At 42.1% G+C, this 23,782-nt stretch overlaps 1 protein-coding gene and 1 long non-coding RNA gene across 5 annotated transcripts in view, besides 8 other annotated features; one reads left to right on the plus strand and one right to left on the minus strand.

The window, feature by feature from the left end:
- CREB3L2 (cAMP responsive element binding protein 3 like 2) overlaps positions 1 to 3,489 on the minus strand; it is a 127,108-nt gene extending 123,619 nt beyond the window's left edge. For both annotated transcript variants that reach the window (NM_194071.4, NM_001253775.2), the window contains exon 1: positions 3,007 to 3,489. In NM_194071.4, the coding sequence (NP_919047.2) occupies positions 3,007 to 3,108 (102 nt within the window). In that variant the 5' untranslated portion in view covers positions 3,109 to 3,489. The remainder of the gene's footprint in view (positions 1 to 3,006) is intronic.
- Positions 1,553 to 1,892: an enhancer, noted in NCBI's record as "active region_26736". NCBI's record gives its function as "activates an Ori minimal core promoter by ATAC-STARR-seq in GM12878 lymphoblastoid cells {active_cell/tissue: GM12878}" and the evidence as "EXISTENCE:reporter gene assay evidence [ECO:0000049][PMID:35858748]".
- Positions 2,514 to 3,112: an enhancer, noted in NCBI's record as "H3K27ac hESC enhancer chr7:137685857-137686455 (GRCh37/hg19 assembly coordinates)". NCBI's record gives its function as "activates a minimal SCP1, AML or CMV promoter by ChIP-STARR-seq in naive H9 embryonic stem cells {active_cell/tissue: H9 hESC(naive)}" and the evidence as "EXISTENCE:reporter gene assay evidence [ECO:0000049][PMID:30033119]".
- Positions 2,514 to 3,168: a biological region, named in NCBI's record as "H3K27ac hESC enhancer GRCh37_chr7:137685857-137686455".
- Positions 3,029 to 3,168: an enhancer, noted in NCBI's record as "active region_26737". NCBI's record gives its function as "activates an Ori minimal core promoter by ATAC-STARR-seq in GM12878 lymphoblastoid cells {active_cell/tissue: GM12878}" and the evidence as "EXISTENCE:reporter gene assay evidence [ECO:0000049][PMID:35858748]".
- Positions 3,113 to 3,710: an enhancer, noted in NCBI's record as "H3K27ac hESC enhancer chr7:137686456-137687053 (GRCh37/hg19 assembly coordinates)". NCBI's record gives its function as "activates a minimal SCP1, AML or CMV promoter by ChIP-STARR-seq in primed H9 embryonic stem cells {active_cell/tissue: H9 hESC(primed)}" and the evidence as "EXISTENCE:reporter gene assay evidence [ECO:0000049][PMID:30033119]".
- Positions 3,259 to 3,348: an enhancer, noted in NCBI's record as "active region_26738". NCBI's record gives its function as "activates an Ori minimal core promoter by ATAC-STARR-seq in GM12878 lymphoblastoid cells {active_cell/tissue: GM12878}" and the evidence as "EXISTENCE:reporter gene assay evidence [ECO:0000049][PMID:35858748]".
- Positions 3,439 to 3,508: an enhancer, noted in NCBI's record as "active region_26739". NCBI's record gives its function as "activates an Ori minimal core promoter by ATAC-STARR-seq in GM12878 lymphoblastoid cells {active_cell/tissue: GM12878}" and the evidence as "EXISTENCE:reporter gene assay evidence [ECO:0000049][PMID:35858748]".
- LOC124901752 (uncharacterized) lies at positions 3,710 to 23,316 on the plus strand. 3 transcript variants are annotated; one of them, XR_007060551.1, is made up of 3 exons: positions 3,710 to 3,793; positions 5,959 to 6,234; positions 22,590 to 23,316. It is a non-coding gene; the product is annotated as an uncharacterized LOC124901752 (long non-coding RNA). The 3 variants fall into 3 exon arrangements; XR_007060552.1 differs by lacking the exon at positions 22,590 to 23,316 and adding an exon at positions 9,505 to 9,578; XR_007060550.1 differs by lacking the exon at positions 22,590 to 23,316 and having other exon boundaries at positions 5,959 to 6,261.
- Positions 3,739 to 3,788: an enhancer, noted in NCBI's record as "active region_26740". NCBI's record gives its function as "activates an Ori minimal core promoter by ATAC-STARR-seq in GM12878 lymphoblastoid cells {active_cell/tissue: GM12878}" and the evidence as "EXISTENCE:reporter gene assay evidence [ECO:0000049][PMID:35858748]".

A 23,782-nucleotide genomic window follows, 5' to 3' on the forward strand; every position in this document is an offset into this window, starting at 1 on the left:
GAGCCAAGTGGCTTAAACTCACGAAGCCTCATTTTTCTTATATGTAAAATAAAAGTAATAAAAATGGCTCATTTCACTGGGTCATTACAAGGGTTAAATGGCATAATATTTGTAAAGCACTAGACACAATGTCTTTCAGCAGGACCAGCTACGTAATTTGTGAAACCCAGTGCAAAATGAAAATGTAAGGTCCCCAGTTCAAAAAGAATTAAGATTTTCAAGATGGTGACAGCACAGCATCAAACCAAGTGTGGACCCCGTGGCACTGCATGGGTGGCAGGCCATGTGGTCAGCCCTGCCTTTCGGATGATAAACACTCAATAGATGGTAGCTGTCATCATCTCTTACCACCCTCACAACTCGTATTTGAACCTCACCCTCCCCTCAGGCTCTCTTCAACTTGGAAAGTTTTATGAAATCATTCCAAAAACAGGCACTGGTGTCTCAGAAGCACCCAGAGTTTATAAGACAAATAACTCACCAAAATGAGTAATCTGAAATACATGATATTAACACAGTCTCATGAAAATGCACACCTACCTTAGGCCTTTGCTCTAGTTCTTCATCCTGCTGAGCTAACACTCTTACCTCCTTCCAATTTTTGTTCAGATCCATTTTCTATGGGAAGCTTGCTCTGATCACTCAGTTCAATCCCATAGTTTGCTCTTCTTCCACCTTGTATTCTCTATCCCCCTCACCTTGTTCTACTTATACGTTTTCCATAACACTTATTTCATCCAACATAATCACTTCTTTATAATGTTTATTGTTTATGTTCCCCTACACACACACACACACACACACACACACACACACACACACGAATATAAGCTTCTAGAAGTCAGGGATTTTGTCTGCTTCTGTTCACTCATGTTTCCAAGTGCTTTATATATTCCACAAATATTAATCGAAAGAACAAATATCTCTCTGACTGAATGAATAATCAGGCCATCCTTTTTCTACATAAAGATTCAGCTAGAGTAACAAACAGCTCTGCCCCTGGATATCTAACAGAGTTCAGGAAACAGATGGGAAAATTATCTCCCCACCTCTCCCAAACGTCCCTTAGTTTGAGAGAAATATAACCCAATCATTTGTGCTGCTAAACCAATACCTCTTTCAACAGTAATTCATATGCACAGTTTGTTGCACTGACTTGCAGCAATGATGAGCAGCATTTTACAGGAATGAGCTGTTCACAACAGACATGTACCTAAGTGGAGGACATAATAAGCATTTTTTAAAAATAGAAATAAAAGAAAAATAATCACACATTCCTGCTTTATCACAATGACAGAAAAACTGGGCTGTTAATATCAAAGCAAATGTAAGGCCTCTACTCCCTGAAAGTGTGCATAAGGTGTTAGTTAGAGCCAGTCCAAGCAGTTCTTCCCAGAGTGAATGCCACAGTCACGGGTAGCATCTCGCACCTTTCCCTGTGAACTCACAAATGCAAGCTACAGGGCCAAAGAACAGCAAGGTAGATGCCTGTGCGTAATTCATCCCACCAGCTGAAAGACAACCCCCTAGCTGTGGCATTGCAGCTGCTGGATGAGACACTGTCACAGCGAAAGAATACTTCAAGAACAAAAGAGAAGGGCTGCCCCTCTGCATATGGATAAAATGTAGCCTGTCAGTAGAAACTCCTGGAGCACCCATTCATCAAAAGATATTTGAGGAACAACATACTCCAAGTTCTTTACTGAGGACAGGAAGCACATCTGGTACCCCAACCTCCGTGCTGCCCACATAGTGTCCCCATGACAAGCTCAGCAAGCAAAGCCCAGAAGATCACACTGAACATCTGGCTTTTGCCCCAGCATGAACTACCACTCCCTCTCAGCCCTGCACTCTGCATTTTTTTTAAACAAGCCACTCTCAGCCACCACAAATACTTCGGTGGGAATCAGCAGGGAGGCCCTCATTCCTTGTCTCAAAATAACGTCAGCCAGAGTCAAAGGCCAAAGAGGTGGAGCCTGCAGGCCATTTTGCGAAAGTTTCAAATATCTTGGTACTGACCCCATTAAAAAAGCGTGAAGGGGAAGCAGCCAAGCCTCCAGTGGTTTTCTCATTAGTGTCCCCCCTCACCCCAGCCCCACCCCCATTACAAACGTCTGCATGGATAAGAATCAAACAAAGAGATCTTGCATAAAGTCCTATGATCAGTGCTGGCTATTGAAAACAAAATTTCATTTTGCAAACTTAATACCAAAAACTTGACATTAAAAACTTTAAAAGAAATGTGCGTGCTCTGGGACAGCTTAATCCCCCAAGAGATCTCTGAGGCATTAGTATAAGACTGAACAAGCAACTGGTGAGCTGTCCCACCTTCCCCAGAGCCTTTCTTAAATATGCAACTGTCTCAGATTTTCCATACTCCTCTGCTGGTTTTTCCTCCGAAGAGGGAGGAAGGAGACTTCTTGGTCGTACAGTTTAAGAAAGCAAATAAAGCCGCCTTTCTCCCTAACGTAGAGGAGCCCTTTCAACACACACACACACACACACACACACACACACACACACACACACGTGTACTTTTTAAAATATAAATATGAAAGAAGAGGAAGGGAGGGAGAGAGGGAGAGAGAATACGAGACAGATGAAAAGGAAATGCTACTTAATCTTGTCCAGTTTTTGAAAACCTCAAAAAAAAATCAATAGCAAACTAGGCGGAGGCATGTTATTCTCAAAACACACACTCCCTCTCCCGCATTACAGTACTGTTAACAACAGCAAATGATATTACAGATGGAAAAAGCCTCAGGGAAAAAAGCATGAATTGTTAAAGGAATACAAAGTGGCATTACTCTCATGAGAAATGTAAAGGGGCCAGCTGCCCGCCTTCATCTGCTCAGACATTAAAGTACACCTCGCCCAGGACCTCTTGATTCTGACCATGCCCTGCCCCAAACCCTGCCTTCCCGGGTCCCAGGACTCCAGCTGCTCCTCGCGTGACAACACTTGCCCGCTTTGAAAGCCCTCCTGCCCCGCCCGCCGGGTCCTCACCGTGTGGTACATGAGGGCCTCGCCGTCCCCGGGCTCTGACAGCTCGCTCAGCTTGCGGTCCCACTGCAGCACGCCCTGCTCCCCGCTCTCCAGCACCTCCATGGCGGTGCGGGCCGCGCTGGGCCGAGGATGCTAAGCGCAGGAGGGGACGCGCAGAGCTGCCTCGGACCGGCAAGGTTCCTCTCTCTCCGCGTGTGCTTGCGTGTGTGCGCGCGCGTGTCTGTAGTTTTGCACTTGGAAAGCAAACGTCTGCTCCTCTGCCGGAGAGAGGATGGCCAAGCGCTCCCGTCCGGTGTCCTCGGAGATCCGAGAATCCCCAGGGACACGAGCCGGACCAAAGGCTGCCGGGGCTAAAGCGGGATGTGCATCCAAAATGAAGGCAGAAGACCCGCTCTCATCCCAGGAAAATCCCTTAGCCGCAAGCCCACTTGCCGCTACGGCTCCAGACACAAACTTTGAGGGACCCCAGGGCTCCTCGGCTCTGCTCCAGGACCCAGCTGCGGCCCCACCTCCCTCCAAGGCTTGACCAATTGGATATCCGCCTTGCCTAGCAGACCCAATCAGAAGTCTCATTCTCGGCTTTGTCCCGCCCCCAAAGGCAGAGGCCGCGGGAAGTCTCCGCCCACGCCTTGGAATGTAGCCGGGGAGTGTCTGTGACGTCACCGAGGAACTCCTCCTGCTTGAGCGCGGCCCGCTGTCTGCTGTCGCCTACAGCTGACCAATAGAGGGCTTGGGTCCGGAAGTGATGGACTGGAGGCTTGACTAATGTGAAAGGGGCGTCTGAAAGGTACAGCCAATGAAATAGCGACAAGAATACATTTTGTAAAAGAGGGAGGGTGAGTTCAGTCCTCTTGCTGAGAATCCTCAGAAATTTACCAGCGCGCCGACAGGGGGCGCGAGAGTTGTTGCGCGGGGGGCTTAAACATTTTCGAGTACTTTAGTTCATTTGAATCTCTCGGAATTTTTTTAATGGATTACATATTATACAAAAATACAAATATTCCTCATGCACATACATTTATATTAGTGCAGCTCTAGGAAATTGTCATTGTTCTTCACCTTTTTCGCCCATTTTCTGTTGGGTTCTTCTATTTTTTATGGACTTCACTTATTGTATGTTTTTCTTTCATCTGCTTGATAAGAGTCAATGGCATGCTTTTCCAGGTCCTACAGAAGTGAGCCCAGTCCTTGAATTCATAGAGCTTTTATCTCAGAGGAGTCAGGCAATAAACAAAGAAATAAACATTTAAATTCAGAAAGTGGAAATTGCTATAAAGAAAAATAAAAGCAGGAAAACAGGATGCGTCAAGATCGATGCTATTTTACGTGCTGATCAGGGAAGTTCTTCCTAAAGGAAATGAGATTTCGGGGGAAGCTGGTATTCACGTGATTGCTGGGGAGGCCAGTGTGGCTGCAGCAGAGGTGCTTGGCAGGGAGGGGTGGGAAAGGCCAGAAAGGTGAGCCAGGGCCAGAGCACCAGGCCTGCCTCCTAGAATAGGGAAGAGATGGCCTGTTCTAAAGGAATTCCCCCGAACACTGTGATTCTTCTTCCTCCTTTTTAATTCCAAAAATATAGTTTACCTATCTTAAATATAAAAGCAGGTCTTTGCCAGTTAGCTCTAGAAGTTTCTTACAATGGCACATTCAGGTATTAGCTATTGTGTTGTTTCCTTGGCAAGTATTTTTTGGCGGGTGGAGACAAATGTCTTTGAACTCTATGTTGTCTTTAAAGCAGCAGTTTATCATATAAACTATTGCATTTGTCTGGTCCTATCTTCTGGGGTCTTTTGAGATTTTTTTTTTTTTTTTTTTTTTTTTGAGACAGTCTCACTCAGTTACCCAGGCTAGAGTGCAGTGGCACGATCTCAGTTCACTGCAGCCTCCACCTCCTGGGCTCAAACAGTTCTCCTGCCTCAGCCTCCTGTGTAGCTTGGACCACAGATGTGCACCACCACACCCGGCTAATTTTTAAATTTTTTGTAGAGGCAAGATCTCACTTTGTTGCCTGGGCTGGCCTCAAACTCCTGGGCTCAAGCAATCCTCTCTCCTGAGTCTCTCAAAGTGCTGAGATTTAAGGCATGAGCCACCACGCCCAGCTTTTGAGATTATTTTAATGCTTAAATAGAAGCTCTAGTTTATGGGCACACACCTTCCTTATATAATAGTTTTCTCATTTTTCTCTTAGGTTCTTGGTTTTTCTTTTCCAGCCTGGTATCCCCTTCATCACATTCTTTCCATAGATTGCTCTTTCCATTTTTAAAGACCTTTCTTATTTTTTTAATCTGTCACTCAATGTACAATGGGATTACATCCACATAAACCCATCATAAATTGAAAATATCGTAAGTCAAAAATGCATCTACTATACCTAACCTATCAAACATTATAGCTTAGCCTAGCCTACCCTAAGATGTGCTCAGAACACTTATATTAGCCTACAGTTGGACCAAATCATCTGGCAACACAGTACTAGTTATTTACTGTCATGATTGTGTGGCTGACTGGGAGCTATGGCTCCCTTGCACCAGGAGAGAATACCATATTGCGTATTGCTAGCCCGGGAAAAGATCAAAATTCAAAACTCAAAGTACAGCTTCTACTGAATGCATATCTCTTTCACACCATCATAAAGTCAGGAAATCATAAGTCATAAGTCAGGAACCATCTGTACCTCTTCCTTAATGTAGGAATACAAACATTTATCCGTGAAGCATTTCTGCTTTTGACAAAGTCTAATCCTGCTTATACCCCATGTAGTAGCCAGTTTCCAAGATGGCATCTAGTGATCCCACTTCCTGGTGCTCACGCTCTTGTGTAATTCCCTCCTCTTGAGTCTGGGCTAGACCTGAGGACTTTCTTCTAACAGAATATGCCAAAAACGAGAAGATGTCAAAAAGATTATGGCTCCTGACTTGCTTGTTTCCTCTTCCTCTCTTGCTTGCCTGCTTTAAGAGAAGCCAGCTGCCATGCCATGAACTGCAATGTGAAAAGGCCAATGTAGCAAGGATATGTCCAGCCAACAGCCAGTGAGGATCTGAGGCCCTCAGACCAGCAGCCCATGAGCAACTGAATTTTGCTAATAACCATGTAAGTGAACACAGAAGTGGATCCTTCCCCAGGCGAGCCTTCATAAGTCCACAGACCCAGTCAAGACTTTGACTGCAGCCTTGTGAGAGCCCCTAAGCCAGAGGACCCAGCTAAGCCACGTTCAACTTCCTGACCTGTCAGGTAATAAATGTATGTTGTTTTAAGCCACTAGGTTTTTCCTTTGTAAAATATGTATTATGATCATTGGCACCCTAAATGGTTTGGTTAAACTTACCTGTACTCTAATAATAGCATCACAATCCCTCGTGGTGGGTTTCTCCAGCCTCCTTTGTTTCACGTATACTTCTCTGTTAAATGTACACACAACTTCTTACCAGCCTGTCTTCCTGTTTTGCATTTTGAAAATGAAATTCTTTCCCTTTTCATCTCCTTAGAACTTAGCAATGTAGTTGACTCTCCTTCCAGCTTCGCTGGCATCCTTGTTCTGCTGTCTGTTATTAATAGATTCATGGCACTTGCACGACTGGAAGTCATACTCTCCCAAAATGAAAATCAGATGCATTAGCCAACAAGACATTTCTCTGATTTTTTTCTGATATTATTTGCTATCTTTCCATGTGTCAGTCTATTTACAAATTTGTTCTATGTGCTTTCTATACCTTCATCTCAATTATTAAGATAAATTGTATCTAGAATTGGGCACTTGACAGATCCCCCACATCATGAAAATAGAATCCGCCTTCCAAGTTCTCATGGTCCCATTCATCGGCATGCTTTTTATTTGACTACTCGATAAAAATTAATCTATTGAATTTTCCTTTTTCACGTCCTGTACTTTTTCAGTTTATCCACAGGGATAACTGTTAAGTACCTGCTTAATTCCAGACACCATTGTGTATACATTTTTCCAGGTTTAAAACTCTGTTAAAAAAAGACATGGGGCCGGGCATGGTGTCTCATTCCTGTAATCCCAGCACTTTGGGAGGCCGAGTTGGGAGGACTGTTTGAAGCCAGGAGTTTGAGACCAGCCTGGACAATATAGCAAGCTATCTCTACAAAAAATTTTAAAACTTAGCTGGACGTGGTAGCACACGCTTGTAGTCCCAGTTATTTGGGAGGCTGAAGCAGGAGGATGGCTTGAGCCGAGGAGGTCAAAGTTGCAGCAAGCTATAATTACCCCACTGCACTCCAGCCTGGGAAAGTCTGCCTAAGCCAACGTGAAAAGGCTGTGCAAAGGCATCCCTGGTGCCACATCCTGACACCGGCACATGACACAGCTGTGAAGACTTGGTCTTCTCAAGTGATATTGTTGGCCAAAGAATGTGTGTGGGGTTACAGTTGGCTTATCAAGGTCTCCCTCACCAAATGGTGAGGATTATGTGAAGGGGAGAGGAAGGCATACTCTATTGGTTTCCCAAGGCTACCATCACAAAGTACAACAGCCTGGGAGGCTCCAAACAACAGCAATGACTCTCCAAGGTGTATGTCACCCTCTAATGTTCTCTGCCTCCTCTCTTTCCTTTGTACCTGTCTACTCAAGAGCTCATCTCAGCCCTTCCCCAACCAACACACTGAGTTCTCCGAGTACAGCCCCCTTGCCATCCTTACTGAAACCATTTGGGATTACTCAATCAGAGTTGCATTTTTTCAGATCATCTCATTCCTCTTGGGCGGTTTTTTTTTTTTTTTTAAATAATACAACAAACCATGGAATCCTGCCCATTTCATCTCTGACATTGTTTTAATAAATTCTGAAGATGTATTTATTTTACTCCTCCATGCTCTTGACTTTCTACTATCTGTTGAGATTTTTCTTTTTATTTTAACATGTTCTATCATTCTATTGCAGTGTGGAATGGGAGCAAACTTTTACTACCCTCTGGCCTTCTTTTGTTTAATTCTTCCTGTTCTAACAGTGTTCAGTATAATAGAAATTTCCCAGCTTTGAGGATTTTCTTTCAATGTCTATTTCTTATTTATTTATTTATTTGGAGACAGGGTCTCGCTCTATAACCCAGGCTGGAGTGCAGTGGTGTGATCATGGCTCACTGCAGCCTCAACCTCCCAGGCTCAAGTGAACCTCCCACCTCAGCCTCCTGAGTAGCTGGGACTACAGGTGTACGCCACCATGTCCAGCTAATTTTTTAATTTTGTATAGAGACGGGTTTTCTGCTTTGTTGCCCAGGCTGGTATCAAACTCCTGGGCTCAAGCTATCCTCCCACCTCAGCGTCCCAAAGTGCTGGGATTACAGGCATGAGCCATTGCACCTGTAATATGCAGTGTATATAGAACAAACAGGAGAGAAGATGTCTGCAAGAATCTAATACCTTCCTAGGAAATCCAGGAAATCAGGATAGGCCTCAGGAATGTGAAATAACTTGGTAATGAGAACTCTGAGTACTGGGATAAAGAGTCAGACAGAAGGAGGGGAGAAGGAGAGCTGCTCCCCACCGCTGAGAAGTCCACCTGGTGTAGAAAATGAGCTGGAAAGAGACGGCACAGGTGCCTTGGCTTCAATTGGCTGTAGATTGCTTATTGATAGAGAATAGCCCCTGATGGGGGTGCTGGATAGAACCGTTCTGCCTGAAGCCAAGGAAACACGTCTCTCTGCCTCTCGGTTTCTCAAAGGGGTTTGGGGGGGTGGACTCTGAAAACCTAGAAAGCAGCCTGCCCTTGGAAACAGACCTCTTCCCATCTTGGCAAATTCAGAAATGGCCAAAGGCCCCAGGACAACAGGAAGAGCTACAGGTACGAGCAGCCAGAGTCACATACGTTGGTCCTTCTCCACCTCTGCTGACCTCAGGAGATCTTGAACTCCACCCTCCCAGGGCCACCCCTCGGCTTCACAATTACATGCTGAATTTATACTCGTACTAACCTGTCACTGTGTGGAGGCTGCTAATACACTACAGCTTGTTTAAAGACTGTAGAAAATTTGAAAATAAAACTTTATTATATTAAACCCCTACCTTACAACTTATATGAAAAAAAGCTTCAGATGGACTAAGGATATTAGTGTAAAATAAAACAAAGCCATCCAGAGAAACCAGAGATAAAATACTTTTATAATTTTGGTGTGAACAAGGTCTAGGCCTAATGTAAAAGGCAGAAAATATATAGGAAAAAATAGCTTTAATTTATACATAAGTATATGTGTCTGTGTGTCTATGTATGCACACACATAGCTATACAGAGATATACATCTTAACCTGTAATTAAATAAATGAGATTAAAATGTTATACATGTTACCGTTCGCATGAGTCATTTTGCAGTGAAGATTTTTTTTTTCCATTGTTTATCTGCTCATGGCCATCCCATCCCAAGAACACAGTGGTGACAGCCTGGTACGTATCATTCCATACTTCCTTTATGCTCATATAATCATATACAAATACACAGAGACAGAGAGAAGTTCAGTCACTGTTTTATTATGCACATTTCTCTGCAGTTTGCTCTTACCACTTAATAAGAGATCTTGAAAATCCCCCATCCTCCAGTGTGGATTTAATGCATTCTTGTTAGCAGCTGACTGGAAAAGGATGAAGCATTCTTCATGTTGATAAACAGGTTTTACTTCTAGAAACATCAATTGTATGACACCAGGATCATATGCTTTGCATGTCCCAATTTCCCGGTATGTGACCTTCTCCCGGTGATAGAAGATCAGGCTCAGGGTGTTGAATATTTTTTTTTTTTTTTTTTTTTTTGAGATAGAGTCTGGCTGTGTTGTCCAGGCTGGAGTGCAGTGTCGCCATTTCAGCTCACTGCAGCCTCCACCTACTGGATTCAAGCAATTCTCCTGCCTCAGCCTCCTGAGTAGCTGGGATTACAGGCGTACACCACCAGGCCCGGCTAATTTTTGTATTTTTAGTAGAGACGAGGTTTCACCATGTTGGTCAGGCTGGTCTAGAACTCCTGACCTCGTGATCCACCTGCCTCGGTCTCCCAAAGTGCTGGGATTACATGCGTGAGCCACCGCACACGGCCTCGGTGTGTTGAATTTGACAGCCTAAGGGCACACCCAGTGCCCAAGGAGCGGGGCTAGCAGGGCAGGAGAGGAACAGAGAAAGGGATCAGGCATGAAATGGTGTGAAGGGCCTGCGGGAGGGTTAGGCAAGACGCAGGGATAGAGAGGTTCAAGGATTGACACTGCTTTGCCACAATTTTTCCTCCAACCTCTGTAGGGCGCTCCCCTTAGGAGATTGTTGGCACCGTGTCACAAGAGAGGTTGGTGGAGGCAAGAGGTTCCTTAAAGGAGGACGGAGGACACAGCCAGAAACAAACAGCCCTTTAATTGAACTAGAAAAGACCGGAATTTCAATTTCAGCCGTTTTGGTCACTTCTCCAACACTGCCACCAAGTGGCTAAAGAGGAACAATGCAACTAGCAAACCCAAAGGGAAAGATTGCAAGAGCTGGGCAGTCATAAAATAAAACCACCATGGCTGGCTAATTTTTTTTATTTTTAATAGAGACAGAATCTCATTATGTTGCCCAGGCTGGTTTCGAGCTCCTGGACTGAAGCGAACCTCCTGCCTCAGACTCCCAAAGTACTGGGATTACAGGTGTGAGCCGCCACTCCTGGCCCCAGCAGTGGTAAAATAAAACCACATCTCACATTCCAGATTAATTTGCAACCCTCAGGTGGAGAGAGAGAACATTTTCATCAACCTAAAGAGTGCCTTCGTGCTGTTTGCTAGTCAGTGCTTCTCCAGAGGTCATTGCCTTTCTGGCTTCCATAGATCAGATTTGCCTGGTCTTGAGCATGATGCAAACAGAATTTTACTGCCTATACTCCTTGTCTGACTCACGCATCTGTGAGATGGGTCCATGCTGCTGCTTGTACAGCCTATTCTCATTATTTGCAGTAGCTCTGTTCTACAAAATCATCACAGACACTGAACCATTGCTCATAGGGAAAATAGGGGTTAGGTTCCTGGGAGACTCTGCTCATGACAATTTCATCAAGCAATCAGTACATATAAAGAAACAAATGTATCAATCTATGTTTAACGTGTATCAACTGATAAACATGCAGAAACAAAATAAAAGCAGATAACCTGGTTTTATGTGTGTTTCTGTTTAAAGACACCTTGTTAAATATATATTGGTGATTCATTAACGTTGAACTCATGGCCAACAGCACTGTAATTCACGACTGAACGAAACTTATCCATGCCTATTTTCCCCAAAAAACACATCACAGCCTTCTTGCACTTAGGAACATTAGACAGCACTTTACCCTTATGCTTGGGGCCATTTTAAACAGCAAAATCACCAACAAAGCACCACAAAAATGAATTTAATGCTATGTGTAGCACTAAATTGACCACAAAAATGATACTTGTTTTACCATATGACAGCCAGAACGAGAAGACAGAACTTGGTCTTGTTTGACCTCACCAGGATAACAAATTTTGGCTGCAGTGGGGCACACCAGGAGATTCAAATTTCTCACTGTTCTGTGCAGGTCCAAAAAATGGACCATAAGAATACCATGAGTATTTTAGGGTGACAAATAAATATCAGCAAGTAGCCAAATTCTCAAATACAGAATCCATGAATAAAGATCAACTGTATCTGTACTTTGGTCTGTGGAGTTTGTTGTTGTTGTTTTTGAGACAGGCTGTCACCGTGTCACTGAGACTGGAGTGCAGTGGTGGGATCATGGCTCACTGCAGCCTCGACCTCCCTGGCTCAAGCAATCCTCCCACTTCAGCCTCCCGAGTAGGTGGGACTACAGGCACACACCACCATGCCAGTTTTTCTGATGGGCTATAAGCTCTATAAAGTCAATCTCAATTCCTCAAAGCAGTCTTCTCATATCTGAAAATATGCCATTCCAGTCAAAGCCTTGGTAAAATACCCAGTGTCTCCACTTGTGACCTGTTACTAAACAAAAACAAAAACAGATTCTTATTGAACCTAAGCAAATAGCTGTACTGACATAAATTAAGAATACTCAAATAGTTTCCAAGTCCTGGAGAAATCAGGTAGAGAGAAATTTTACTCACGAGAGTATACTCAATTGTTAAAAGCTATAAATAGGCCAGGCGCGGTGGCTCACGCCTGTAATCCCAGCACTTTGGGAGGCCGAGGCGGGTGGATCACGAGGTCAGGAGATCGAGACCATCTTGGCTAACACGGTGAAACCCCGTCTCTACTAAAAATACAAAAAATTAGCCGGGTGAGGTGGCGGGCGCCTGTAATCCCAGCTACGCAGGAGGCTGAGGCAGGAGAATGGTGTGAACCCTGGGGGGCGGAACCCTGGCAAGCGGAACCTCGGGAGTGAGCCAAGATCGCGCCACTCCAGCCTGGGAGACAGCGAGACTCCGTCTCAAAAAAAAAAAGCTATAAATAACTCAAGTTTTCAGCTGGGCACAGTCGCTCATGCCTGTAATCCTAGTACTTTGGGAGGTTAAGGTGAGAGAGTAGCTTGAGCCTAGGAATTCAAGACCAGCCAGGGAAACATAGTGAGACCTCATCTCTACAAATAATAATACAAAAAATTATCTCAGTGTGGTGGTGCACACCTGTAGTCCCAGCTACTCGAGAGGCTGAGGTGGGAGGATTGCCTGAACCTGGGCAGTCGAAGTTTCTGTGAGCTGAGATCATGCCACTGCACTCCAGCATGGGCAACAGAGCAAGAACCCATCTCCCAAAAAAGGAAAAGAAAAAAAGTTTTCTTGACTCTGAAAAACAAAACAAAAAAGTATCAGCAATGTTTCAAACAAAAAAGGCATAAAAAATTATTTCAGTTATAAATTAGTTCAGTTATAAATTAGTAATTAACCTTTGTTCTGTCCAAGACTGGGCCAGCAATCTTCATGAACATATCAGCTCTTCAATGAAAGATCTGGCAATTTTCTCTCTAGTCCAATGACACAGCCTCCAAACTTAGAAACCTGCATTCAAGAGCACCCATCAGAGTCCTCTCCATGAACTTCCCTAAAGAAGAAGTAACTTTTGAACTGTAGCTGATCATAAACTACTTTTTGAGAAGAATCAAAGTAAAACAAGGACTGTCCATGGATGATAGAAGTCTTAGGACAGGCCAGGTGCAGTGGCTCATACCTGTAATCGCAGCATTTTAGGAGGCTGAGGAGGTGGATCACTTGAGTCCAGGAGCTCAAGACCAGCCTGGACGACACAGGGAGACCCTATCTGTACAAAAAATAAAGTAATTAGCTGGGTGTGGTGGCATGAGCCTGTAGTCCCAACTACGAGGGTGCTGAGATGGGTGGATCACTCGAGCCTGGGAAGCAGAGGTTGCTCAGTGAGCCGAGACCATGCCACTGCACTTCAGCCTGGGTGACAGAGTCAGACTCCTATCTTAAAAACAAAAACAAAAACAAAAACAAAAAAACAGTCATGGTTAAAGATACAATTGACAAGAAAATTTGCTTATTTCTGTGACATGCAATTTACATCAGAATCATAATTATTACTGATAATATAATATATACTAAGACATATCAGGATTACAGGAATCTCATATGATTTTGGAACACATACTAATATTTATTTAACTCAAAGTTAAATAAACATTTGATATTTGACAATGCTTCCTTTATGATTTTAACACACCAAATAAGGCAAATAAGTCCAAAATCTCTTTTGGACTTCAGGGGACCTAATATCTAAAAAAGTTAATAAGGTCAAAAAGAATAGATTTCAAACCTGAAATTTTGATTTTGGAAAGTTTGTCAAATATCAAAAGTTTAAAACATTTGAGATCACAAAATAGGATCACAGGTTATTCATTTAGCCAAAAGTGATAACTCAAATATTTCCAAAAAGAAAAAAAAAAAACCTTTACTCTTTGATAGAGAGGAGACTGAGTTTCCCAAACAAAAAGACCTAATAAAAACAGCGTGCAGCCAACTGAATCTGTCTCTTTTCTTTCCTCTTTTTTTTTTTTTTTTTTGGCAGTTTACTCAAAAAGTAAGCAAACATATTTTATTGTCTCTTAATTATTACATGAAAATCTTGTTTAAAAGAGAAAACCAAATTTTGCTTTTGCATAGTATATTAACACTGAAATTAATTTTTAATAAAATCTTATAAACAAATCCATTCAATCTCAATCACTTTGACCATTTAGAATTTTCTAGTAAAGAACAGATCAGTGCTCTAAGAAAACCCTTTTATTCCAACACAGGGTTTCTGACTCTGGCCCTGCATCGTGTGCTCTTGATATTAATGTTTAATTTGCAGAAAAACTAAATGATACCCTTTAAATTGTAGCCAACTTGATCACACAAAAAATTCCTTTCATAAGATCAATTCACCACAATCTTACTGAAAGCTTCAGTTTTATCCTATCATTTTATCTTAGGACAAAAATTTACTTTCCCAATTTTCTATATCCATTTCATTTTATCTATCATTTTTCCTTCCATTTAAAACAACTTAAAAACGTCTAAGCTAGGAAAAATCACTTTCCCTTAAAAAAAAACACTACATTTCTCTGACCTTTTACCAAAAACACATCCTACTTTCCTTATATACTTTACATATAGAATTTTTCTCTTCTATCTAGTGGTTTTAATTACATATATTAATTACAATGTTAACTCTTCATAATTTTTAAACGAAAAACCTAGGAGGTAAGCAATTTAAGTTATGTATCAGATGTGTAGCCCAGGACAAAAGGAGAGAGCTGCAGATAATACATGACCCTTCCCACCGCAGCGAGGAGGCATAGTTAGGCGAGAGAGAACTCCACATGTCCCCAGGCCTTACCATGTCATTTTTTAGAGCCTAGAATCTAAAGGTGCTGCTAAGACTGGCAAGTCAAACAAGCATCAAAAATATTCCAGAAACAGTTTATAACCTTAAAATCTCTAGCAAAGATAGCATCTGACCTACCTAATTCAGATCAAATGTCTATATTAAATCCTGAAGATGTTTCTATTTTATTTCGCCAATAATTATAAAATTATCTTTATTTACTAAAGATTATTAAGGTCATGTGAACGAAAAGACATTTGAGTTAAAGTTTCTGGTTTTTTGATAAAGTATTTGATTTAAGCACTTACTTTTTTTCTTTAAGTCAATTAATTGGAGCTCTATTATATATTTTGGTAGTGAAACATCATACACATGACACAGATACACAGATAGAAGCAGATCTTAAAGGTTTATACAAGTCTCATTAGCCAGTTTTTAAATAGTTTTTTTTCCCCATACACTCTTCCAATTGCCTATTTTATTGCCCTAGGCAATTATTATCTAGGTAACCCTATACCTGTCTTTATAAAGGAACATTCTTAGGTGAAATGAGATAGAAAATGTATATTTCAAAAGCACAGAGCTAAGACATTAGTCCTATATATTGTACCATCATTTGCTCAAACCAAGGAAAAAATGGTATAAGTAAAAGTTCAGTTAAGATGGCCAGAAAAAGCTTGCTTGCTTGCTTGCTCTTTCTTTCTCTCTGCTTCTCTGTCTCTCTCTCTCTCTTTCTTTTTGTATTAGTCTGTTTTCACACTGCTGTAAAGAAATACCTGAGACTGGGTAATGTATAAAGGAAAGAAGTTTAATCGACTCACAGTTGTCCATGGTTGGCAGGCCTCAGGAAACTTACAATTATGGTGGAAGGGGAAGCAGGCAGGTCTCACATGGCAGCAGGTGAGAGGGCCAGAAAAAAGAGAAGGAAGAACTTCCAAACACTTAGAAAACCATCAGATCTCATGAGAACTCACTCACTATCACGAGAACAGCATGGAGGAAACTGCCCCCATCATCCAATCATCTCCCTTTCTCGACACATGGGGACTACAGGTCCCTTCCTCAGCACATGGGAATTACAATTCGAGATGAGATTTGGGTGGGGACACAGAGCAAAACCGTATCACTTTTCATTTTTGAGACAGGGTCTCACTCTGTCACCCAGGCTGGAATGCAGTGGTGTGATCATGGTTCACTGCAGCCTTGACCTCCCAGGCTCAAGCAACCCTCCTGCTTCAGCTTCCCAAGTAGCTGGAACTGTAACCAACCATCCCCATTTTTCTAAGAGATAATTTATTTTTTCTATCTTCTTTTCTCTTTCCTCCTTTTCCCACTTTCTAGTTAGTCCTTTAGAAATGCAAATATAGCCTTTTACCTCCCCTTCACCAGACATTCCCTACAGGGTAAGTTCATCTAACTATCTGCTTAGGAGCTCCAGAAAGGAAATCTCACCCACCAGGAGGTTGCCTTGAGAGATAACAGTCAATTTACAACCCAAAGTACACATGCCCACAAAGACACAGGCAGTCACCACCTTGACTACCTAGTAGATAAGGTACCAAACTAACATGTAGATGCTGCACTTGCTTACTTCCCCCGACCCCATGTGCCATTCATGTTAAGCCCCCTTTAAAAGTGCTTACTTCCTGCTCCAAAAGCAAAGTGATACCCCTAGGCAGGAAGCCTGTACTTGTTCCCCTCAGCTAGCTTTGGAATAATTTAAAAAAAAAAAATCACTTTCTTTATACCAGAACTCACTTTTATTAACTGGACTCTGCAAGCAGCAAATAGCTGAACCTGCATTTCGGTTACAATTTTGGTGGCCCATATAGGGAAAGTGCTGCATGCTCTGGGTGAATCTGTGCCTGACAGCCGGCTTTTGCTACCGGGCAAGGTTTTGTTGGGGTCACCTGTGAGCACCAGCTGCTCATGGCTAGCAGATCTCATGACAGGAACATTCAGGAACTTCTCAGCAGCTGCCAAAAATGCTTTTGGTTTGGGGGAGCCTCCCTTTCGCCTCACAGCACATTTGCTGCCTTCAACTCTCTGCTGGTATAAAGAAAGTGACCTCTGTAAGACCCGGCAAACTTTGGAAGTGGCTGAGTTAGCTGGAAGTGCACCTGATCACCCTCTGCTTCTTTTGGGGTGTCACTGGGGCCCGGTTCTACCTAAGACTTGGCTGCTAGTGACACCATTTGAGCATTTTAGGTGTTTCTGTTTGTAAGTGTGGCACCATGGGAGCTTTGCTGGGCCTATGGAACCATTTGGACCTGGGGAGGGGCATTCAGCATCTCACTCAGCCTCCTTGATTGGAGACTCATTTGGAAGTATGCTGTTTGTTTGCATGTACTTTGTGAATGGGCCCTGATTTCTTTCTTTCCTCTCTACCTCCAATCTCACTCTTCTAACTATCTTCAGAGAGCCACCTACAGCCTTAGTCCTCTCAACTGCAGGCTTCCCTAGCTCCCTATGACTGGAAACAGCTCATCTTGACCAGTGACTTGTGAAGGTGGGAGGGTCCCATCCCATATCATGTGGACCTGGGGTGCTGAGGCTCTCCTGAATGGGAGATAAACAGGGGTGATGGGAGTATCAACCCTGTGCCGTGTAGTGGCTGGAAGCTCACGAGCTCCCTTTCTATCGCTTTACTGTTTCTTCTTATTTCCTTTTCCTCTTTCTCATGCCCTGCTTGTAAAACCTGGCTCCTATGCAGAGGCTGGCCAGACTATATATTCCTCTATTTTCTTTTCTGCCTGCTTTAAATCTGCTGTTACTTTACCGGTGTTAAGACAAAAACCACCATTTGGATTCAACTGTTTTTTAATAAACAGATGAGTTTGCATTGATATCTCTTAGCTAGAGTTCAAAAATGAAAGCTATAAGATCTTTGTTTATATGAGTGTGTATATGTGTGTTTATGTGTACACACATGTATTTTGTTATATGTTGCTGCTACAAGGTACCAAATTGACTTGAAGTTAAGGAGTACTCATGAGACTTAAGGAAAATCTTGAATAAATAAGCTGGCTTTAAAATTATTGGTAAAATAATATTAGAAATGTCTTATGAATTGTCAATATACATTTTTGTTCAGATTTATTGATCAAGTGGTTTCATACTTATCTCTGCCAGATATTATAAGGCATCAAAATTTGGCATAAAAGTTAAAAAACTATAAACCTAGCCCCAAAAAGAATGATCTTTGCTTGTGTAATTTTTGATAAATAGGACATTTAATGTTGTTTAATAGAAACAGCTAAATCTTCTAAGTCGGCAGTCCCCAACATTTTTGGCACCAGGGACTGGTTTCGTGGAAGACAATTTTTCCATGGAGCCCGGGAAGAGGGTAATGGTTTGGGGATGATTCAAGCACATTACATATATTGTGCACTTTATTTCTATTATTATTACATTGTATATATAATGAAATAATTCTACAACTCACCACAATATAGAATCAGTGGGAGCCCTGAGCTTGTTTTCCTGTAACTAGACTGTCCCATCTGGGGATGATGGAAGATAGTGACAGATCATTAGGCATTAGAGTCTTATAAGAAGCACACACCCTAGATCCCTCGCATGCACAGTTCACAATAGGGTACATACTCCTATGAGAATCTAATGCCACTGCTGATCTGACAGGAGGCGGAGCTCAGGCAGTAATGCAAGCAATGGCGAGTGGCTGTAAATACAGATGAAGTTTCACTCGCTTGCCTGCTGCTTAGCTCCTGGTGTGCAGTCTGGCTCCTAACAGGCTATGGACTGGTCCATGGCCTGAGGGTTGGGGACCCCTGTTCTAAGTTATCAACAAAATGTCCACGTGTTTGACTATAAGGTTCTTAAATAAACGCCTGATGTTCACAAGCTTTAAAAGTGGTTAATAGAGAAATAACTTTAAATAATGACCACCTTTGTGTCATAACCTAGTTTTCAGAAGTAATCTAAATAAATGGTTAAAAATGAGAAAATGGAGTACCTATAAATGAGACAAATGCTTAGAAAAAATAAAAATTTTGTATAATTTGAAATCTGAAATCTTTTTTTTTTTTTTTTTTTTTTTTTTGAGACACGGCCTTGCTCTTTCACCCAGGCTGGGGTGCAGTGGTGTGATCTCTGTTCACTGCAACATCTGTTTCCCAAGCTCAAGTGATTCTTCTGCCTCAGCCTCCCGAGTAGCTGAGACCACAGGCACATACCACCATACCCCGCTTTTTTTTGTATTTTTGGAAGAGACAAGGTCTTGCCATGTTGCCCAGTCTGGTCTCGAACTCCTGAGCTCAAGCAATCTGTCTGCCTTGGCCTCCCAAAGTGCTGGGATGACAGGCGTGAGCTACCGCGCCTAGCCCATTTTGAATGCTTATTGAATATTTGGATCATTTCCACTCAAGAAAGTTTTATTATATGGGAAATATGTTCCAAAATTGTGAACTATAAAATGCTAATATTGCATCTATAAAATGCTAATATTGCATCTATAAAATGCTAATATCTGATAGGCAGTTCAGGATTTATTGCTTCCCAGGTTTACATAAAATGTGCCAAAGAAGATGTGTTCTTATTGAGAAAAAGAATACTTTCATCTAATTCGAAAGTTATCTAAAAGTTAATTCAAATTCTGGATTTGACAAGGTTATTGCATCCATGTAACTTTCTGTATTACCTTTAAAGTACTTCTGCTGTTAAGTTATAGGGCTTTGACTCCTTAGCCCTAAAAAGGACACAACATAATGTCATGTCTAGCCTTAATTCTCTTGAATGGTTAAAATCCTTTGCAAGCTCAACAGTGACTGCTCTAGACTCCTGGAAAAAGCAATAGCAATCACCTTGTGCTAACTCAGTAGCTAAGGCTTTGCTCTTTCACATTGACAGCCTAGGTTCAACTCCTGCCTTTGGAAGTAAGTCCTTTCTGGTTGATAGTTACGGGACTTACCATTTGTTGATTCTTTTCCACCTCCATGGACAGCTTCTGGTTTCCTGTCTTGAATTTTCTTTTCTCTGAGCTACCCTACAGAGAATTCTAGATCTTGTGAAAACTGTTTGCCATCTCTTTGGAGATACCTCATACATCCATGCTTAAGCTGTAACCTTAATTAAAGCTTATTGGTTTCACTTGGGAGAATATCTTTGGAAAACAAAAAACAAAAAACAAAAGCCTAAAGGCCAGAGGTGTCAGCTGTTTTTCCCACCTAGAATCTGGTAATAAGGGATTTTAAAAGATTTTTGTTTTTTGTTTTTTTTTAGAAAAAAAAGCTCTATCATTAAAAGTCAGCCTAACTAAATGCTGATATGTATTATATACATATTATATAAGTATATATAATATACAATCATATAATATAACATATATAATTTTTATATATTTTTATATAATAATTTATATATGATAGATATATACATATATTCAGTCAACTGAACTCTGTCTGTCTTCATGCTACCCTCAATGCTCACATGAGAGGGCCTAAGGTAATTTCTGATAGGCTGGGACTCCTTGGGAGAAACAGAGGAGGCACTGCGGACACCGTTTCAGGAGAAGCCTCTGTTTTCCTCATGGAACTCCAAGAATTGTGAGTAGAAAGATCCCTATCAAAATCTAAGGCTCTGTTCCGTTTTGCATTGTGTTACCTGAGCTTTTTGACTTTTAGGGGCATCAGAAATTACTCTGCATTACAGTAGAACTTTCAGCCTTGGTGTGTAATAGCTAGGTAACAAATATATTTTTAGGGATGGCTAATGGCACTTGCTTACAGTGAGTGGGCGTTACTACAGGCTGGTATTTCTTTCTTCTCGCATTTAAACAAGAAGAAAAACATGCTCTATTGGCACCTAGAAGGCATGGAATGGGGGATGTGCCGATTATAAAATGGCCTGATTGGCTTTGGTTTGCCCGTCAGCCTCGGGAGAATGTCCTTGGAGTGAAATGCACCAGTGAAACCATTGTACTGTCTTTTCCTGTATCATTTCCTTCAATTTTGGGGGACTCAGGATTCGGTGTGAAAATGGAATCCTTGGTTTTTGGAAATCTGTTCTGCTTTCCAGTGATGCCTGTTTTTCACACGATTAAATGTTAGGCCCTAGAAACTCCACGCTTTCTCGGCCCTGTTCCTCAAAGGGCTCCACCCTGAAGCCAGTAATCCAATGAAGAAACTTAAAATCTGGCAAATGAAAAGTCTTCAAACTACCAGATCATCTTCTGTCTGTCTGTGTATTTATATGTATTGTGTATGTGAAGTTTATATAAAAGAGCTCTAATTATTTGACTTAAAGAAAAACAAGTGCTTAAATCAAATATTTTGTCAGTAGAATAGGCAATTTAATGCCTTTTAGTTCACATGACTTTAGTAATCTTTGGTAAATAAATATAGTTTTCAAGATTATTGGTAAAATAAAAGATGTCTTCAAAATTTATACATTTGGTCTAAATTAGGCAGGTCAGATACTGTCTGCTAGATGCTTTAATGTCATAAACTGCTTCTATGACAATTTTTTTTTCTTTTGTGACAGAGTTTCACTCTTGTTGCCCAGGATAGAGTGCAATGGTGTGATCTTGGCTCACCACAGCCTCCACCTCCCGGCTTCAAGTGAATCTCCTGCCTCAGCCTCCCAAGTAGCTGGGATTACAGGCATGCACCACCACGCTCGGCTAATTTTGTAGTTTTAGTGGAGACAGGGTTTCTCCATCTTGGTCACGCTGGTCTCGAACTCTGACCTCAGGTGATCTGCTTGCCTCAGTCTCCCAAAGTGCTGGGATTACAGGCGTGAGCCACCACGCCCGGCCGACATTTTTGATAATCATTTGACTTGTCCGCTTTACAGCTAACAGATTTTAGATAGGATTTAGGCTGGGAAGAGTCAGACACTGTCTGCAGCTCTGTCTTACTCCTGAGCTCTACAATCCCGTACGCAGTTACTTACTTACTTACTTACCAGGTCTTTTGCCAAAAATAAAAGTTGCAAAGAGTTAACACTGTGACATGTACTTGAAACTACTAGAGAAACAGTTTAACACACAAGGTCTATAAGGAAAGTAGAGCGTACTTTTGGTAAGAGGTTATAAGAAGGCATGGAAGTATGGCCTTTGTTAAAGGGAATATTTAGGGGTTTTTTCGGTTTTATTTTTCTTGAGACAGGATCTCGCTTTGTTACCCAGGCTGGAGTGCAGTGGCATGATCATGGCTCACTGCAGTCTCGACCTCCCTGGCTCAAGCCATCCTCCAACTTCAGCTCCATGTGCAACTAGGACTACAGACGTGTGCCACCACATCTGGCTAATTTTTTAAAATTTTTTTGTAGAGATGAGGTCTCCCTATGTTGCCCAGGCTTGTCTCGAACTCCTAGCCTCAAGCAATCCTCCCACCTTGGCCTCCCAAATTGCTGGGATTACAGTTGTGAGCCACTGTACCCGGCCAATGTAATTTTGTCTAATTCAGAAGGTTTTAAGGATTGTCCTAACCTAAAAGAATAACGGGAGAAAACTGAAGGTTTAAACAAGCTGTAAATTGTGAAAGATTGATCTTGTAAAGGAAGTTCTGTGAGTATGAGCAAGTTGGCTAAAATTTGAAGGATATTTTTCAATTCGTCTGTAAATTCAGTATTAAAATAAAGCCACACCTAATTCAGAGCCAGAATCTGGGCCCATGTGTCTGGATAACAGGGTATTCTTGGAGCATTGATTTTTTCTTTAACAAAATATTGTAAAGGCTTATAAAAGGTTTATGGGAATTTTACCTTATGGTCAACTAATTAAAATTGGATAGATTTCTTTATAAGGTTTAATGAAGCTTTTTTTTTTTTTTTTTGACAGGGTCTCCCTCTGTCACCCAGGCTGCAGTGCAATGGTACAATCTTGGATCACTGCAATCTCCACCTCCTGAGCTCAAGCAATCCTCCCACCTCAGCCTCCCGAGTACCTGGAACTAAAGGCACAAAACACCATGCCCACCTAATTTTCGTATTTTTTGGTGGAGATGGGACTTCACCATGTTTGCCCAGGCTGGTCTCAAACTCCTGAGCTCAAGAAATCCACCCACCTCAATCTCCCAAACTGCTGGGATTACAGACATGAGCCACCACACTGGGCCTCCTTTTTTTTGGCTTTGAGACAGGGTCTCCCTATGTTGCCTAGGCTAAGTGAAATGGTGAAATCACAGCTCACTGCAACTTCAACCACCCAGGCTTAGGTGATCCTCCCACCTCAGCCTCCCAGGTAGCTGGGACCACAGGCATGCACCACTATCCTTGGCTAGTTTTTTTGTATTTTTTGTGTTTCATCATGTTGCCCAGGCTGGTCTCAAACTCCTGGGCTCAAGCAATCCGCACCTCAGCCTCCCAAAGTGCTGGGATTACAGGTGTGAGCCACCACCCCTGGGCCTTTTATTAAGAATAGTACACTAATGCAAAGATGCAATTTGGCTTTCTCTTTTGAACAAGATTTTCATGTAATTACTAAAAGATAATGAAAGGTTTTTTTTGTTTGTTTGTTTGTTTGTTTTTGGTTTTGCCTTTTAAATAAACAATCAAAAAAAAAAAGAGAAGGGAGAGAGAGAAAAGTCAGATTCGGGTTGGCCTCATGCTGTCTTTATTGGGTCTTGTGTGGAAAGTTGAGTTTTACCCTCTGTCAACAAGCAACATTTTTGCTTTTTAAAAATTTCTGAGCTGCCACCACAGCTACCGCAGCCTCTGGGAGCCTAGAAAAGGGGAATGAGAACAGTGAATGACTCAGTCCCCTGATGGCAGTGGTGGTGGTTGTGGCCAGGGAGACATGATGATGAGGTGGGGGCGCTGCTGCTGCGAGGAGCAGGCAATGATGTGGTGGGGGTGGGGGTGGGGCCGGGGCGGGGTGTTGGGGGGTGGCACAGGAATAAAAAGAAAAAGAATCACCAAAAACAGGGAAAAGTGGAAAAAGTTTAAAAGGACAAGACACAGTAAGATCAGAGCAAACTTCCTTCAGGAAAAATAGCCTTGTTGCTGTCCCATCTACAGTATCTGCTAAAATTA

This window comes from Homo sapiens, chromosome 7 (assembly GCF_000001405.40).
Source record: "Homo sapiens chromosome 7, GRCh38.p14 Primary Assembly".
Classification (NCBI taxonomy): domain Eukaryota; kingdom Metazoa; phylum Chordata; class Mammalia; order Primates; family Hominidae; genus Homo; species Homo sapiens.